Source organism: Homo sapiens, chromosome 10 (assembly GCF_000001405.40).
Source record: "Homo sapiens chromosome 10, GRCh38.p14 Primary Assembly".
NCBI classification, from domain to species: domain Eukaryota; kingdom Metazoa; phylum Chordata; class Mammalia; order Primates; family Hominidae; genus Homo; species Homo sapiens.
The window spans coordinates 15,075,175-15,089,461 of NC_000010.11; the positions used below are offsets into that span (position 1 = coordinate 15,075,175).

A 14,287-nucleotide genomic window follows, 5' to 3' on the forward strand; every position below is an offset into this window, starting at 1 on the left:
TTTCCCCTGCATCTCTACCTGGTGGAGGTAAAGTCCACATGGGAACAACTTTCAGGAGTTTTCAAGCCCTCAACTGTAAGACACCAAGTCTATCATTGATGATGTCTTCTCTTTGAAGGAATTAGGCCTTGGTATCATCGTGGAAGACGTCTATCATTAGGCGAAATTTAGAAAGATGAGAATTATCTTGATTGCCAAAATTTTCCCGATGAGAAATCAACCTCGATTTTTAAAAGTAAACTTTTTGAGGTAACTGCAGATTCCCTTTTATTTGTAAGAAATAATACAGAGAGATTTGTGTAGCCTTTTACCCAATTTCCTTTAATGGTAACTGTTATGCAAAACTATAGTATAATATCACAATCAGCATATTGGTGTTGCTACAATCAAGACAGAACATTCCATCACTGCAGGATCATCCCTCCTGCTGCCCTTTTAAAGCCACACCCACCTCCCTCCTCCCTGGCAACCACTATTCCATCCTTTGCGTCTATAAATGTTCCCTTTCAAGAATCCTGGCTGGACGCGGTGGCTCATGCCTATAGTCTCAGCACTTTGGGGGGCCAAGGTGGGTAGATCACCTCAGATCAGGAGTTCCAGACCAGCCTGGGCAACATGGTGAAACCCTGTCTCTATGAAAAATACAAAAATTAGCTGGGCATGGTTGCACGCACCTGTAGTCCCAGCTACTCTGGAGGCTGAGATGGGAGGATTGCTTGACCCTGGGAGGCAGAGGTTGCAGTGAGCCGAGAGCGTGCCACTGCGCTCCAGCCTGGGTAACAGAGTGACAGCCTGTCTCAACAAAAAAAAAAAAAAAAAAAAAGAAAAGAAAAAGAATGTTATATAAATGGAATTATACATGTCACATTTGGGGACTGGCTTTTTCTGCTCAGCATAATTCCCTGGAAATTCATCTAGCAGACCTAGATAGTTTTGTTGTTGTAGTAACATGAAGTGGATCTATTCCTCTGGTCATACCATTCCAAATCTAAATTTTTATGCAGGGAATAGAGGTACACTGTTTTGGGGGATATTTATCTTAAGGGATCTCAAACAATTTTTTGAATTGTTAACATGAGACTGTCTTCTTTCAAAGAGCCTGTGTACCATCCAGAAAGACTGAGTAGGGGGCCAATATTATATTCCAGACTCTATTTTTACTCAGATAGAACTGAACATATGGGGTACAGTAGTGGTACAGTTTATCACTAGATACATTTTAGTTTGCCTTTTTGTCTTAAATGTCTTAAATGTAAAAATTTAAAGAAAAATAGATATTCCTATGGGGGCTTTTTAAATTTCTTTAAACTGCTATGGACAGACTTGTAATTTTTTTTTTTTTTTTTGAGACGGAGTCTTGTTTTGTCGCCCAGGCTGGAGTGCAGTGGTGTGATCTTGGCTCACTGCAACCTCCATCTCCTGGGTAAAAGCAATTCTCCTGCCTCAGCCTCCCAAGTAGCTGGAATTACAGGTGTGCACCACCAATGGCTGGCTAATTTTTGTATTTTTAGTAGAGATGGGGTTTTGCAATGTTGGTCAGGCTGGTCTCGAACTTCTGACCTCAGTAATCCACCTACCTCGGCCTCCCAAAGTGCTGAGATTAGAGGCGTGAGCCACCACGCTCAGCCTTGCCATTGATTCTTAATAACCTGTTTTTATTTCACCAGTAACATTAACTTATTGTAACAGAACAGATGAGCCAAAAGAACAAACAGCTGTTCAAATCTGTACACATATTACCAGGGCTAGACTTTCTAAAAAGTCAAAAAACAACAGATGTGGAGAAAAGGGAATGCTTATACACTATTGGTGGGAATGTAAATTAGTACAACCTCTATGAAAAACAGCACGGAAATTTCTCATGGAACTAAAAATAGAACTACCATTCTACCCAGCAATCCCACTACTGGGTATCTTCTTAAAGGAAAATAAATCATTCTATCCAAAAGATACCTGCACTTGTATATCTATTGCAGCACAATTCACAAGAGCAAAGATATGGAATCAACCTAAGTATCCATCAGCAGATGATGGGATAAAGAAAACGTTGTATATGTATACCAGGGGATATTACTCAGCCATATAAAGAGAATGAAATTACGGCTTTTGCAGCAACGTGGGTGGAACTGGAGGCTATTATCTTAAGTGAAACAACTCAGAAAAAAATAAGAAAATAAAGATTTTTAAAGAACCCTCAGAAACAAAAAAAAATACCACATGTTTTCACTTATAAGTGGGAGTTAAACAGGGTGTATACAGGGTCATGGAGTGTGGAATAATAGACACTGGAGGCTTGGAAAGGTGGGAGGGGGTGAGGGATGAGCAATTACCTTTTGGGTACAATGTACAGTATTTTGGTGATGGTTACACTAAAAGCCCAGATTTCCCCACTACACAATATATCCATGTAACAAAACTGCACCTGTGACCAGGTGTGGTGGCTCACACCTGCAACCCCAGCGCCAAGGTGGGCAGATCACCTGAGGTCAGGAGTTCGAGACCAGCCTGGCCAACATGGCAAAACCCCGTCTCTACTAAAAATACAAAAATTAGCCAGCCATGGTGGCAAGCACCTGTAATCCCAGCTACTCGGGAGGCTGAGGCAAGAGAATCACTTGAACCCAGGAGGCGGAGGTTGCAGTGAACCGAGATCACACGACTGCACTCCAGCCTGGGTGACAGAGTGAGACTCCTCAAGAAAAAACAAACAAACAAACAAAAACTGCAACTGTACTCCCTAACTCTATAAAAATAAAAAATACTTTTCTAAAAGAATTTTTTTTTTTATACTTTAAGTTCTGGGATACATATGCAGAACGTGCAGTTTTGTTACATAGGTATACATGTGCCATGGTGGTTTGCTGTACCCATCAACCGGTCACCTACATCAGGTATGTCTCCTAATGTTATCCCTCCCCTAACCCCCTAGTCCCCGACAGGCCCCAGTGTGTGATGTTCCCTTCCCTGTGTCCATGTGTTCTCATTGTTCAACTCCCACTTATGAGTGAGAACATGCTTGGTTTTCTGATCTTGTGATAGTTTGCTGAGAATGATGGTTTCCAGCTTCATCCATGTCCCTGCAAAGGACATGAACTCATCCCTTTTTATGGCTCCATAGTATTCCATGGTGTATATGTGCCACATTTTCTTAAAAAGAACTTTTAAAGACACCTGGTTTAAGCAAGTACAATTGAGTTAACTATGTAGTTTCAGTATACTTCTAAGTACTACAGCTCATGCTAATAGCAAAAATATACATGATACATCAAGTTAACAGTATGCCTCTCCCTCTAAATGTTAGGTCATGATAGCATTTGGAAGTCTTCAAAAGGAAAAATTCCTCATATGCTGTATTCTAAATTCCGTATTTTTCTATCAGCTCCTTTGCTTTAGAAATATAGGCACTCGTCGCATCTTCCGTCGACAACCCTAGAAAGATACAAACAGGTTATCTCCCTGATTGGTGCACTGGGAAATTAAGAAAGTTTGCTTTAAACTTGTGAAAGACTAAAAAACCTTTTTTGAGGTTCCATGCTTCCCATTTGGCTTTGCCTTTTAAATCTAGCATTCCTGGACACGCTGGCAAAAGAAGGAGACATGCATTTGCAGGTTAACATTTTACTGTGCACTTCTATAGACATTGTTCAAACGGAGTATATTACTATATTTTAAGTAATTATATATTATAATCGCAATTAATATATTAATTGTAACATATGAATATATTAATATTAATAATATATAATACCAATATTAATGTCTCCAACTATTGCTTGTTTGTAAAGCCCATAGAGTTCTTTCAGTTCTCCATCATCTGGTCTTGCTTTCAGCTTCCTCACATCTTCTGCAGCCCTGTCAAAATCAGCCTAAAGGAAGAACAAACAAACAAACAAAAGGAGCATTTTACCACCAAGGAATAGGAACTCAAAGAGCAGGAAGAGGAAGGTTCCAAGTAGAAATGAACTTCTGCTGCTCTGGTTCTATCAGAATCATCTTAATTTACTTGAATTCCTAGGAGTTCACCTCTCCTGGGACTTACCTAATATGAGGAACTATAGAAAATTCTTAATACAGAAAATGTTCGGTTTAACTTCTTTTTTTTTTTTTTTTTTTGAGCCAAGGTCTGGCTCTCTCGCCCAGGCTGGAGTGCAGTGCAGTGGCACCGTCTCCACTCACTGCAACCTCTACTTCTGGGGCTCAAGCCATTCTCCTACCTCAGCCTCCCAAGTAGCTGGGACTACAGGGGTGCACCACCACACTCGGCTAATTTTTGTATTTTTTGTAGAGATGGGGTTTTGTCATGTTGGCCAGGCTTGTCTTGAACTCCTGACCTCAAGTGATCCCCCTGCCTCGGCCTCCCAAAGTGCTGTGACTACAGGCGTGAGCCACTGAACCTGATGGTGAGTTTGCTTTTTTTTTTTTGAGACTGAGTCTCACTCTGTTGCCCAGGCTGAAGTGCAGTGGCAAGATCTCGGATCACTGCAACCTTCGCCTCCTGGGTTCATGCCATTCTCCTGCCTCAGCCTCCCGAGTAGCTGGGATTATAGGCACCTGCCACCGCGCCTGGCTAAGTTTTGTATTTTTAGTAGACACGGGGTTTAACCATCTTGGCCAGGCTGGTCTTGAACTCCTGACCCTGTGATCCACCCACCTTGGCCTCCCGAAGTGCTGGGATTACAGGTGTGAGCCACCGTGCCCAGCTGCTTTTCTTTTTTTTTTTTTTTGGCATTATTTATACTCATTGAAGGTTTCTCAATCACCTCGCAGATGCGCCCTTCCTCTTCTGCCTCAGTCCAACTTTACTACATGCAGGGGCTTCGCTACCAGTTAATACCATCGTCTAGGGCGTTTCTCTTCCAGTGCCCTCATGCCTACATTCTTTAATATCAGTATTATTTAGACCTAGCCAGTTTCTGAGGGTAATCACTATTCCTGATTTGGCTGAATTGCTTGTACAGATTCCTTTCCACACTAGACCTAAATTATAAGATTTATTGCAACTGATTTCTAGAAAAGAGGAGTTGTTTAGCCAATTTAGAGCTTATTAGGGAAAACTTTGTATACCAATATGCTTGAGTGGTATGTTTTTAGACTTCCTGGAAACTCTATATACAATGTACTTAAGCCTGGTGTGGTGGCTCATGCCTGTAATCCTAGCACTTTGGGATGCTGAGGCAGGGGGATCGCTTGAGGTCAGGAGTTCGAGACCAGCCCGGCCAACATAGCAAAACCCTGTCTCTACTAAAAATACAAAAATTAGCTGGGCTTGGTGGTGCGTGCCTGTAATCCCAGCTGCTCAGGAGTCTGTGGCACAAGAATTGCTTGAACCTGGGAGGCGGAGGTTGCAGTGAGCTGAAATAGCACCACTGCACTCTAGCCTGGGCGACAAAGTGAGACTCTGTCTCAAAAACAAAAACAAAAAACCAAATGTACTTAAGTAGTTTAAGCCTTGTCCTGAGTTAGCTCTGATAACTGGGACCTCCCTAACCCCGCAAGACCCTCAGGCTGGCCCAGGGTTCAGCCAGTGGCTGAAATAGACAAGGAAGTCCAGTCTACTCCAGAGCCTGAGTGTTCCCAGGATCTTTATCCTTTTCCCTTTCTAACCTCTTAGTTTATACTCTACAAAGAGCTTTGTGATTAGTTTCCTTTATAGATTTTTAAACTAAACTGTGTCTTACCTTGCCTTATTTTTTAAAACTCAGGATAAGCAGGAATTGTCAGTAGGCTGGCTGTCAAACAGGGGAAGTTCAAGGACATATGCTGGCCACCCCCTGCCCCCCATACTTCTTCTCTGATGCCAGAGCTCCCTTTGGATCCAAAGGCCTAGGAGAGAAAGTGGATAGCCCCACTGTAACCTCAGTACCCTGCGGGCTCAGCGGAGTGGCAGGGTCAAGTTTCCTTCCAGCCCCAAAGACAGGCAGTACTGTGGCAGGCCAGGTTTCCCTAATGGCTAAACAGGCAGGCCTCCATAACAACCGTTTCAGCACTGACTGAGTGGTTAACGTTAAATACTAAAAGCAGAAAGAGCAAGTGCCCTCATACGAAGACTCCAAGGTAACAAAAGCCCACCAAGAGTTTTGCCCAGGCCCTTCCTGGGGCTTGAGGCATGACAAGATAATGAAGGAATTCTTAACAGGACCCATTTAGGATTAAACAAGTTTTATTGGGGTCTGAAGGAACTCCCCAACCCTCCATGATTTAGCAGGAAATAAGATAAGGGTAATCACTGCAGCACCTGGACCCATCCAGATTAAGTAAATTTACTGAGGCTCCAGAGGAAGGTCTTCAGATCTCAGCCCTTAGTTATATATTAGAAGAAGTTCATCACTTAAGGTTTTAGATGAACGCACACTTACATGCAGACATATAACTTAGCAGGCATATAAGCTCTGGAAAACTCTGTAATTTTGAGTTGGCTTCGCAATAATTTGCAGTCCTTCTCCTTGCACCCAGCTACAGAAATCAAATCTCTTCTCTCCCAGTTTATCTGCATCTCGTTATTGAGCTGAGAGAGTAAGCAGCCGGGCTCTCAGCTTGGTCCACGAACAGTAGCACAACCAGAACAGTTGTTTTGTGAAGAGCACAATCACCTGTAAGTTGGAGATCAGGGTCTTCAGCCTAAATAACCTTGAACGTGGCCCATCCTCCTACCCAGTTCCCACAGGGGACTGAGAAGCACGGGGCATGGAACAAGGGGTGCCTTGTCTTCTGAGTGTCTTCCTAAGAAACTCTTGGCTGCTTTATACATAATGCCATGGTTAAGAACATGGCTCTGGAGCCAGACTGCCTTGATTGGAATCTCAACTCCATCTCTTAAGAGCTGTGTGACCAGGCTGGGCGCAGTGGCTCACACCTGTAATCCCAGCACTTTGGGAGGCCAAGGCAGGTGGATCACCTAAGGTTGGGAGTTTGAGACCAGCCTGACCAACATGGAGAAACCCGTCTCTACTGAAAATACAAAATTAGCTGGGCATAGTGGCACATGCCTGTAATCCCAGCTACTCGGGAGGCTGAGGCAGGAGAATCGCTTGAACCCTGGAGGTAGAGGTTGCAGTGAGCCGAGATCATGCCACTACACTCCAGCCTGGGCAACAGAGCAAGACTATCTCAAAAAAAAAAAAAAAAAAAAGGTACTTGCAATAAAGCAAGACATAAGAAATACTTTTAGTTTATGGTTTAGCAAAGAACACAAATTCTTTTTATACACTCAGCTTTGTAAGTAGTATAGAAAAAATAAAAACTAGAAAGATGTATACTAAAGATATGTAAACAGTAATTGCCTCTGATTACTGGCAAGTTATGTAGTTTTAAAATATTTTTGTACTCTCCAAATCTTCTATAATGTGCATGGATTGTGTTTATAATAAGAACAAAATTGAAATGCTACATGAGTGGCTGAGCTGCTTGAGGGCAAGGCTATGCAGAAGGGGTGTAGGACCTTCCTCTGTAGGTTTATAGGCCATCTCAGGTGTTCTGCTTGCTGTAAAGTCTCATATTATTTTCCAGTGACAGCAACTCGACTCCTTTTGAGGTGCCAAGCCTTAATTAGAATTCTAAGCCTTCTTGAAAACCCATATGAGGGCTGGGTGCAGTGGCTCACGTCTGTAATCCCAGCATTTTGGGAGGCTGAGGGAGGTGGCTCACTTAAGGTCAAGAGTTCGAGACCAGCCTGGCCAAAATGGTGAAACACCGTCTCTACTAAAAATACAAAAAATTAGCTGGGCACGGTGCCTCACACCTGTGATCCCAGCTACTCAGGAGACTGAGGCAGGAAAATAGTTTGAACCCAGGAGCAGAGGTTGCAGTGAGCCAAGATCCTGCCACTGCACTCCAGCCTGGGTGACAGAGCAAGACTCCGTCTCAAAAAAAAGAAAAAAGAAAAGAAAAAAAGATCTAATGAAAGTCCTGGACCCCTCTGCACAGAAGAGCTATGCCCTCACACAGTTTCCCATGCCATTTCAGGGGTCCCCGCTCTTTCTCCCTCCCTAGGTAGGGAACTCAGTTCTAGAGCAGGGGCCAGCATCATTCTCTCTGTCTAGCCTGTCTGGTTCTGGCACCTCAGTGCAATACATTCCTGCCTTAAGGGGCTGTTCTGATGCACCTTCCTGCAGGAGGCCTTTCCCATCCCAGCCATGATGAGCTGGAGTACAAACAACATTGGCCTTGGCCAGGATACTCAGGTTTGACTTCCAGCTTTGAGACACACTGCCCTGGGACTCGATGCAACAAACAAAGCTCCTCTAAGATGCAGCTTCGGCCACAAAAAGAGAATATCAGCCTCTTTTTGTGCTAGGGTTAAGGATGATTAAGAATATAATTTTCTTTTTGAGACAGTCTCGCTCTGTTGTCCAAGCTAGAGTACAGCGGCACAATCACGGCTCACTGCAACCTCCACCTCCTGGTTCAAGCGATCCTCCCACCTCAGCCTCCCAAGTAGCTAGGATTACAGGCATGCACCACCACGCCTGGCTAATTTTTTTGTATTTTTAATAAAGATAGGGTTTTGCCATGTTGGCCAAGCTGGTCTTGAACTCCTGAACTCAAGTGACCTGCCTACCTCTGCTTCCCAAAGTGCTGGGATTACAGGCGTGAGCCACGATGCCCGGCCAAGAATGTAAAATATTCTTGATTTGATCCTATGGAGTCTGCCCTCCCAGAGTTCATCTCACAGCTCATACTAATTAACAAACCTACTTACTGAACACCTCCGACAGGCCAGGCCTTTGCCAGGCAGATGGGCATGCACAAGGCAGCGTGCTTGAAGGCGCTCATAGCCTGGTGGGAGATGAACAGGGCAACGGTGACCACAGGGGACTTGCTGCAAATAAGGTGCAGCAGTTGCTCTGGGAACACAGGAGGTAGCACAGACGGGAAGGTACGGAACGGAAAAAGCCATCCCTGAGATGAGATGGGATCGGGTCTGCGATTGTTGGCTGCAGAGGGGCAGGGAAAGCTGCTCCCAGCGGTGTGGACAGAACTTACTAGAGCTCAACATAAAGGCTATGTGGGGTTGCATAAATACTCACAAATCAATAAATAAACAATCAATCAATAATCACCTTGGCAGCACCCACGGGGCCTCACGGACTGCTGGTGGGTGGCGTGAGCCTGGTCTGAGTCTATTAAGTACATCCTTGTTGGATGGTTAACGAGCGAGCAGACTTTAGGGGGATCAGAAAGTTATCATAGGTGAGATGCAGCTTTAAATATAGAGCCATGGACATTGAATTCCAAAGCATTCTTGTTACCAGTGGAGGGTGCCCAAGTTCTTGGCATTTTGAACAAAAAATTGGACAAAATGCACAAACAAAGCAAGGAAACAATGAAGCAACAAAAGCCGAGATTTACTGAAAGCGAAAGTACATTCCACAGGGTGGGAGCAGGCCGAGCACAGGGACTCAAGATCCCTGTTACAGAATTTTCTGTGCTTAAACGCCCTCCAGAGGCTTCCCATTGGTTACTTGGTGTGCATCCTATGTAAATGAAGTAGCGGCCTGCAATCAGAGGCTGAAGTTACAAAGTTACACTTCTATGCAAATAAAGACTTGGCTCACGATCAGTCTGACTGGTTGGGGAAAGCAACCAATCAGAGGCTGAAATGAAGTTACAAAGGTACATTCCTGTGCAAATGTCTGATTGGTTGCAGAAAGCAACCAGTCAGAGATACTTTCAATTTTCCATCTGCCACACAGAAAGTGGGGAGGAGGTTGCAAAGGGAGTAGCCTCCGGTCCTTTTATTACATAGGTGTGGAAAGTTGGGGTTTTGATTTAGTTCTACAAAGTCAGTGTGAATCGGCCTTAGGTTCCCTGCCTCCAGACCCTATTCTCCTGCCTCATCCTGAGAGAAAGGCATCACAGTTTTGCAGTATCCTGTTGCAGAGCTGGGCTTGCTGCCTTTGGCAGGAACTGCAGCCAATGCTGAGCTGATTTCTCCTGAGCGAGGGGTCCTCGGCATCCTGGTTGAATGTTTTGTGCATTATCTCCCGGTCACCCGAGCTTGGGATTCTGCAAGACAAACTGCCTTAAGGCTACTACAGCCCCTCCCTGGACTCTCTCCTGTTCAACTTTTGACACTAGGCTCCCTCACCCCACCTTTGGCGTAGAAGTTACGCCAGCATCACTCACACTGGGTACATCCTGGGTGCATCCTTCCGTGCTGACTAGGCGGGCTGCTGTGTAAATTACCTTTCACATTTCAGCCCCGCTGAAGACAGCCTCCGAGGGTGGCTCTCACCTCACCTGACTTTACTTTCTGCAATGAACATGGTCATCCCACATAGGGGGTTGGCAAGGTCTTCTTGAGCAATTCTTTCCCATTGAGCAACCCAATTAAGAAGATAAAAAATTCTCACACTCAAGGAACTGCAGGGTTCTTAGGTCACACAAATGTGGGCTGGGGGAAGAGGTTAGTCTTTTTTTGCCAGTTGTTAAAATCATCAGTACCCTAGACTTGAAAAGATACATATTCTAGAGGAAGAAGTCTGTTTTTTAGCTTCATCATCTAGGAAAGAAATTTGTCCATTTAGGATAAACATCAGCTCTCCTAAATGCTTTGGTGAGGATGGAAACATATTGTAATTTTCAGATAAAATCAGGAGGCTATAGCCGAATTAGAAATTCCATTTGTTTTGCTACTCCAATGACAGTCTGCCAGTATACTTATTCTTGTGTAAATAAATAGAAGACTGGGGACCCTGAACTAGTCACCTTTCCTCTCATTTCCACTCAGTGAGCATCTTGGCAGAACACTAGTACCAATATGATCCCCGCACATGCCAGTGAGGTAATAAAGACAGAAGAGATTTCAATATGTCAGCCAGTTATTAGTTGTCATTTTTAAAAGTTACTTTCAGCTGGGCGTGGTAGCTCACATCTGTAATCCCAGCACTTTGGGAGGCTGAGGCAGGCAGATCACTTGAGGTCAGGAGTTCAAGACCAGCCTGGCCAACATGGTGAAACCCTGTCTCTACTAAAAATACAAAAATTAGCCGGCCGTGGTGGCAGGCACCTGTAATTCCAGCTACTAGGAGGCTAAGGCAGGAGAATTGCTTGAATCTGGGAGGTGGAGGTTGCAGTGAGTCAAGATCACGCCATTGCACTCCAGCCTGGGCAACAGAGCAAGACACCATCTCAAAAAAAAAAAAAGTTACCTTCCCCCAATATTGTTGACACGCAAATGCATTATTAGTAGATAATATCATGGGTCGATGTTAATACTTCTTAGCATACTGCTTTTCTGTGATGTTCCTCAACTCTTAATTCCTCGTTGCAAGTATTTTAAAAGCAAACAACAACAGAAAACCAAAGTACTAAGCTAAAAAGGAAACTTTCAGATCTTTCAGGAAATTTTAGAAAGAACATTTTGATCATTTTGGAGAGAGTTCAGTATAAACACATAAGTCACGCACAAGAATATTTGAGCCAGGCAAGGTGGCTCATGCCTGTAATCCCAGCACTTTGGGAGGCCAAGGCGGGTGGATCGCTTGAGCTCAGGAGTTGGAGATCAGCCTGGGCAACACAGCAAAACCAAATGTCTACAAAAGATACAAAAAAGGAAAGCCTGGCATGGTGGCTCACACCTGTAATCCAAGCACTTTGGGAGGCTGAGGCGGGCAGATCACCTGAGGTCAGGAGTTTGAGACCACCCTGACCAACATGGAGAAACTCCATCTCTACTAAAAATACAAAATTAATTGGGTGTGGTGGCACATGCCTGTAATCCCAGCTACTCAGGAGGCTGAGGCAGGAGAATCGGTTGAACCCAGAAGGTGGAGGTTGCGGTGAGCCAAGATTGCGCCATTGCACTCCAGCCTGGGCAACAAGAGTGAAACTCCATCTCAAAAAAAAAAAAAAAAAATAGCCAGGTGTGGTGGCAGGTGCCTGTGGTCCAAGCTACTTGGGAGGCTGAAGTGGCAGGATCACTTGAGCCCAGGAGGTCAAGGCTGCAGTGAGCTGAGATCATGCCATTGCACTCCAGCCTGGGTGACAGAGTGAGACCCTGTCTCAAAACAAACAAACTAAATGTTCCACCACAAGCTTATCCTTATTGGACTTCTACCACATGCCAAACATTGTTTTAAATGCTTTATACATATAACTCATTTAATGTATCTCTCCTGCATTTTTAGATAAAGAAACTGAGGCACGGAGAGGTTAACTATGTCACAGGCTAAGTAGAAGTGAGGCACACATTTGAACCCAGATGGCCCTGAAGTATGTATTACAACTTTACGCAGGATAACGTCTTGCCTGACTGAAATGGTTAAAGAAGTGAGCCACGTTCTATGAAATTTTGTGCATGTAAAAGATTACATTTTAGAGGCCGGGCGTGGTGGCTCACGCCTGAAATCCCAGCACTTTGGGTGTCCAAGGCGGGTGGATCACTTGAGGTCAGGAGTTGGAGACCAGTCTGGCCAACACAGCGAAACCCCATCTCCACTAAAAATAGAGAAAAATAGCCAGGAGTGGCGGCGCACGCCTATAATCCCAGCTATTTGGGAGGCTGAGATAGGAGAATCACTTGAACTTGGGAGGCGGAGGTTGCGGTGAGCTGAGATTGCACCACTGCACTCCAGCCTGGGTGACAGAGTGAGACTCCATCTCAAACAGCCTGGGTGACAGAATGAGACTCCATCTTAAAAAAAAAAAAAAAAAATTACAAAAATCAGCCGGGCGTGGTGGCGTGCACCTGTAACCCCAGCTACTGCGGAGGCTGAGACATGAGAATCGCTTACACCTGGGAGGTGGAGGTTGCAGTGAGCAGAGGTTGCAGTGAGCAGAGATCGCACCAACTGCGCCTCAACCTGGGCAACAGAATGAGACTCTGTCTCAAAAAAGAAAAATAAAATTACATTTTAGAATATTTAATAATGAGAAAATGCTCATATTACTGTTTTACGTGTAGGAATAAAACTATATACACAATAACATCATAGGTATGTGTGTAGATATATGCCACACACATACACACATGGAAAATAACATACTAGGACATACTAGGAATTACCCTAGCATGTAGCAGTGATTATCACCTGGGTGAAGGAATTATCATTGGATTATTATCAGTAATTATTACTTTATATTTGTTGTCTTTTCCAAAGTTTTCCACCCTTAACAATTTTTTTCACATACCTATAAAACAGTATTTTTAAATTGGAGCCTCACAGATCTCTTCTGCTCAGTATGACACTAAGAGAGGTCCTGGAGGTCCCAACGAGCGAAGGGGCGGGAGCGGGGGATCTCGACTCCCTCTCGGAGACGGAGAGGAGGAGGCCCGCTCCGTGCTCCCCGGCGCTCCTGCCTTGCCTGCTTTTCCGCTCACCCGGCCCCTGGGGTCCGGAAGGGTTGCCCTGGGAGCCCTGGCTCGCCGTCAGCAGGCACAGGTGCGGTCTACACTGCCATCTGGGGCGCTGGGGAAGGAGTGGGCGTGTCCCCCGGGTCACCGCCGACCGCTCCCAGGGGCGCCAAGCCCACCCGGAGCCCCACTTAAGCACTCCCCTCGCGGAGCGCCCCTCCCGCGTGGCCTCCCCGCGCCCCGGGTACCTGCAGGGCCATGGTGGCGGCTGCCGCGTTGTTGCTGCTGCTGTTGTCGTCCGGTGCTCTGCCCCCTCTCGCACCCACCGCTTCTTAAACGGCCGCGTCTCCTCCGGCCGCTGCCATTGGCCGCGCTCCCGGCCCGGCCGCCTCCCATTGGTCGCGGGCGCGGGGGCGAGGCTGGGCGGTGAGCGGTACTGCACGCCGGGTTCCCCAGGCTGCAAATGGAAAGGCGAAGACAGGAGAATTTAAATGAGTTTCTCTCCGCTCTTGGCTCTCTCTTCTATTCTTTCTCAAGCGGTTCTTTGCAGGAAACCCAGAGAGGTCTCCGTAGGGCACAGGCCTCCCCTGGAATGCCTTCGAAAGAAAGAAAGAAGGAGAGAGACAGAGAGAGAGAGAGAGAGAGAAAAAATATATATATATATAGAGAGAGAGATATATATTTATCTAGAGAGACCCGCCCCAACTCTCTTAAAATACATATGTAATTTTTTCAATTTAAAAAAATTTATACATGTAAATATGTATTGGCCGGGCGCGGTGCCTCACGCCTGTAATCCCAACACTTTGGGAGGCTGAGGCCGGCAGATCACCTGAGGTCGGGAGTTCGAGACCAGCCTGACCAACATGGAGAAACCCTGTCTCTACTAAAAATACAAAATTAGCCGGGTGTGGTGGCGCATACCTGTAATCCCAGTTACTCGGGAGGCTGAGGCAGGAGAATCGCTTGAACCCGGGAGGTGGAGGCTGTGGT

General features: G+C 45.4%; 1 protein-coding gene and 1 long non-coding RNA gene across 2 annotated transcripts in view, besides 3 other annotated features; both read right to left on the reverse strand.

Annotated features, from left to right (window-relative positions):
* Positions 1-13,602, reverse strand: part of ACBD7-DCLRE1CP1 (ACBD7-DCLRE1CP1 readthrough) — a 73,705-nt gene extending 60,103 nt beyond the window's left edge. Inside the window, exons 1-2 of the long non-coding RNA NR_144471.1 lie at positions 13,543-13,602; positions 3,749-3,866 (exon numbers count right to left, since the gene is read on the reverse strand). This is a non-coding gene — a long non-coding RNA (ACBD7-DCLRE1CP1 readthrough). The remainder of the gene's footprint in view (positions 1-3,748; positions 3,867-13,542) is intronic.
* ACBD7 (acyl-CoA binding domain containing 7) lies at positions 301-13,602 on the reverse strand. Its single transcript, NM_001039844.3, has 4 exons — positions 13,543-13,602; positions 3,749-3,866; positions 3,517-3,579; positions 301-3,429 (listed from the first exon to the last, which is right to left on the reverse strand). The coding sequence occupies exons 1-4, from the start codon at positions 13,552-13,554 to the stop codon at positions 3,356-3,358; spliced, it is 267 nt and encodes an 88-aa protein (NP_001034933.1). The 5' UTR covers positions 13,555-13,602; the 3' UTR covers positions 301-3,355.
* Positions 8,281-8,804: an enhancer, noted in NCBI's record as "H3K27ac-H3K4me1 hESC enhancer chr10:15125454-15125977 (GRCh37/hg19 assembly coordinates)". NCBI's record gives its function as "activates a minimal SCP1, AML or CMV promoter by ChIP-STARR-seq in naive H9 embryonic stem cells {active_cell/tissue: H9 hESC(naive)}" and the evidence as "EXISTENCE:reporter gene assay evidence [ECO:0000049][PMID:30033119]".
* Positions 8,805-9,327: an enhancer, noted in NCBI's record as "H3K27ac-H3K4me1 hESC enhancer chr10:15125978-15126500 (GRCh37/hg19 assembly coordinates)". NCBI's record gives its function as "activates a minimal SCP1, AML or CMV promoter by ChIP-STARR-seq in naive and primed H9 embryonic stem cells {active_cell/tissue: H9 hESC(naive and primed)}" and the evidence as "EXISTENCE:reporter gene assay evidence [ECO:0000049][PMID:30033119]".
* Positions 13,387-13,776: a silencer, noted in NCBI's record as "silent region_2167". NCBI's record gives its function as "represses an Ori minimal core promoter by ATAC-STARR-seq in GM12878 lymphoblastoid cells {active_cell/tissue: GM12878}" and the evidence as "EXISTENCE:reporter gene assay evidence [ECO:0000049][PMID:35858748]".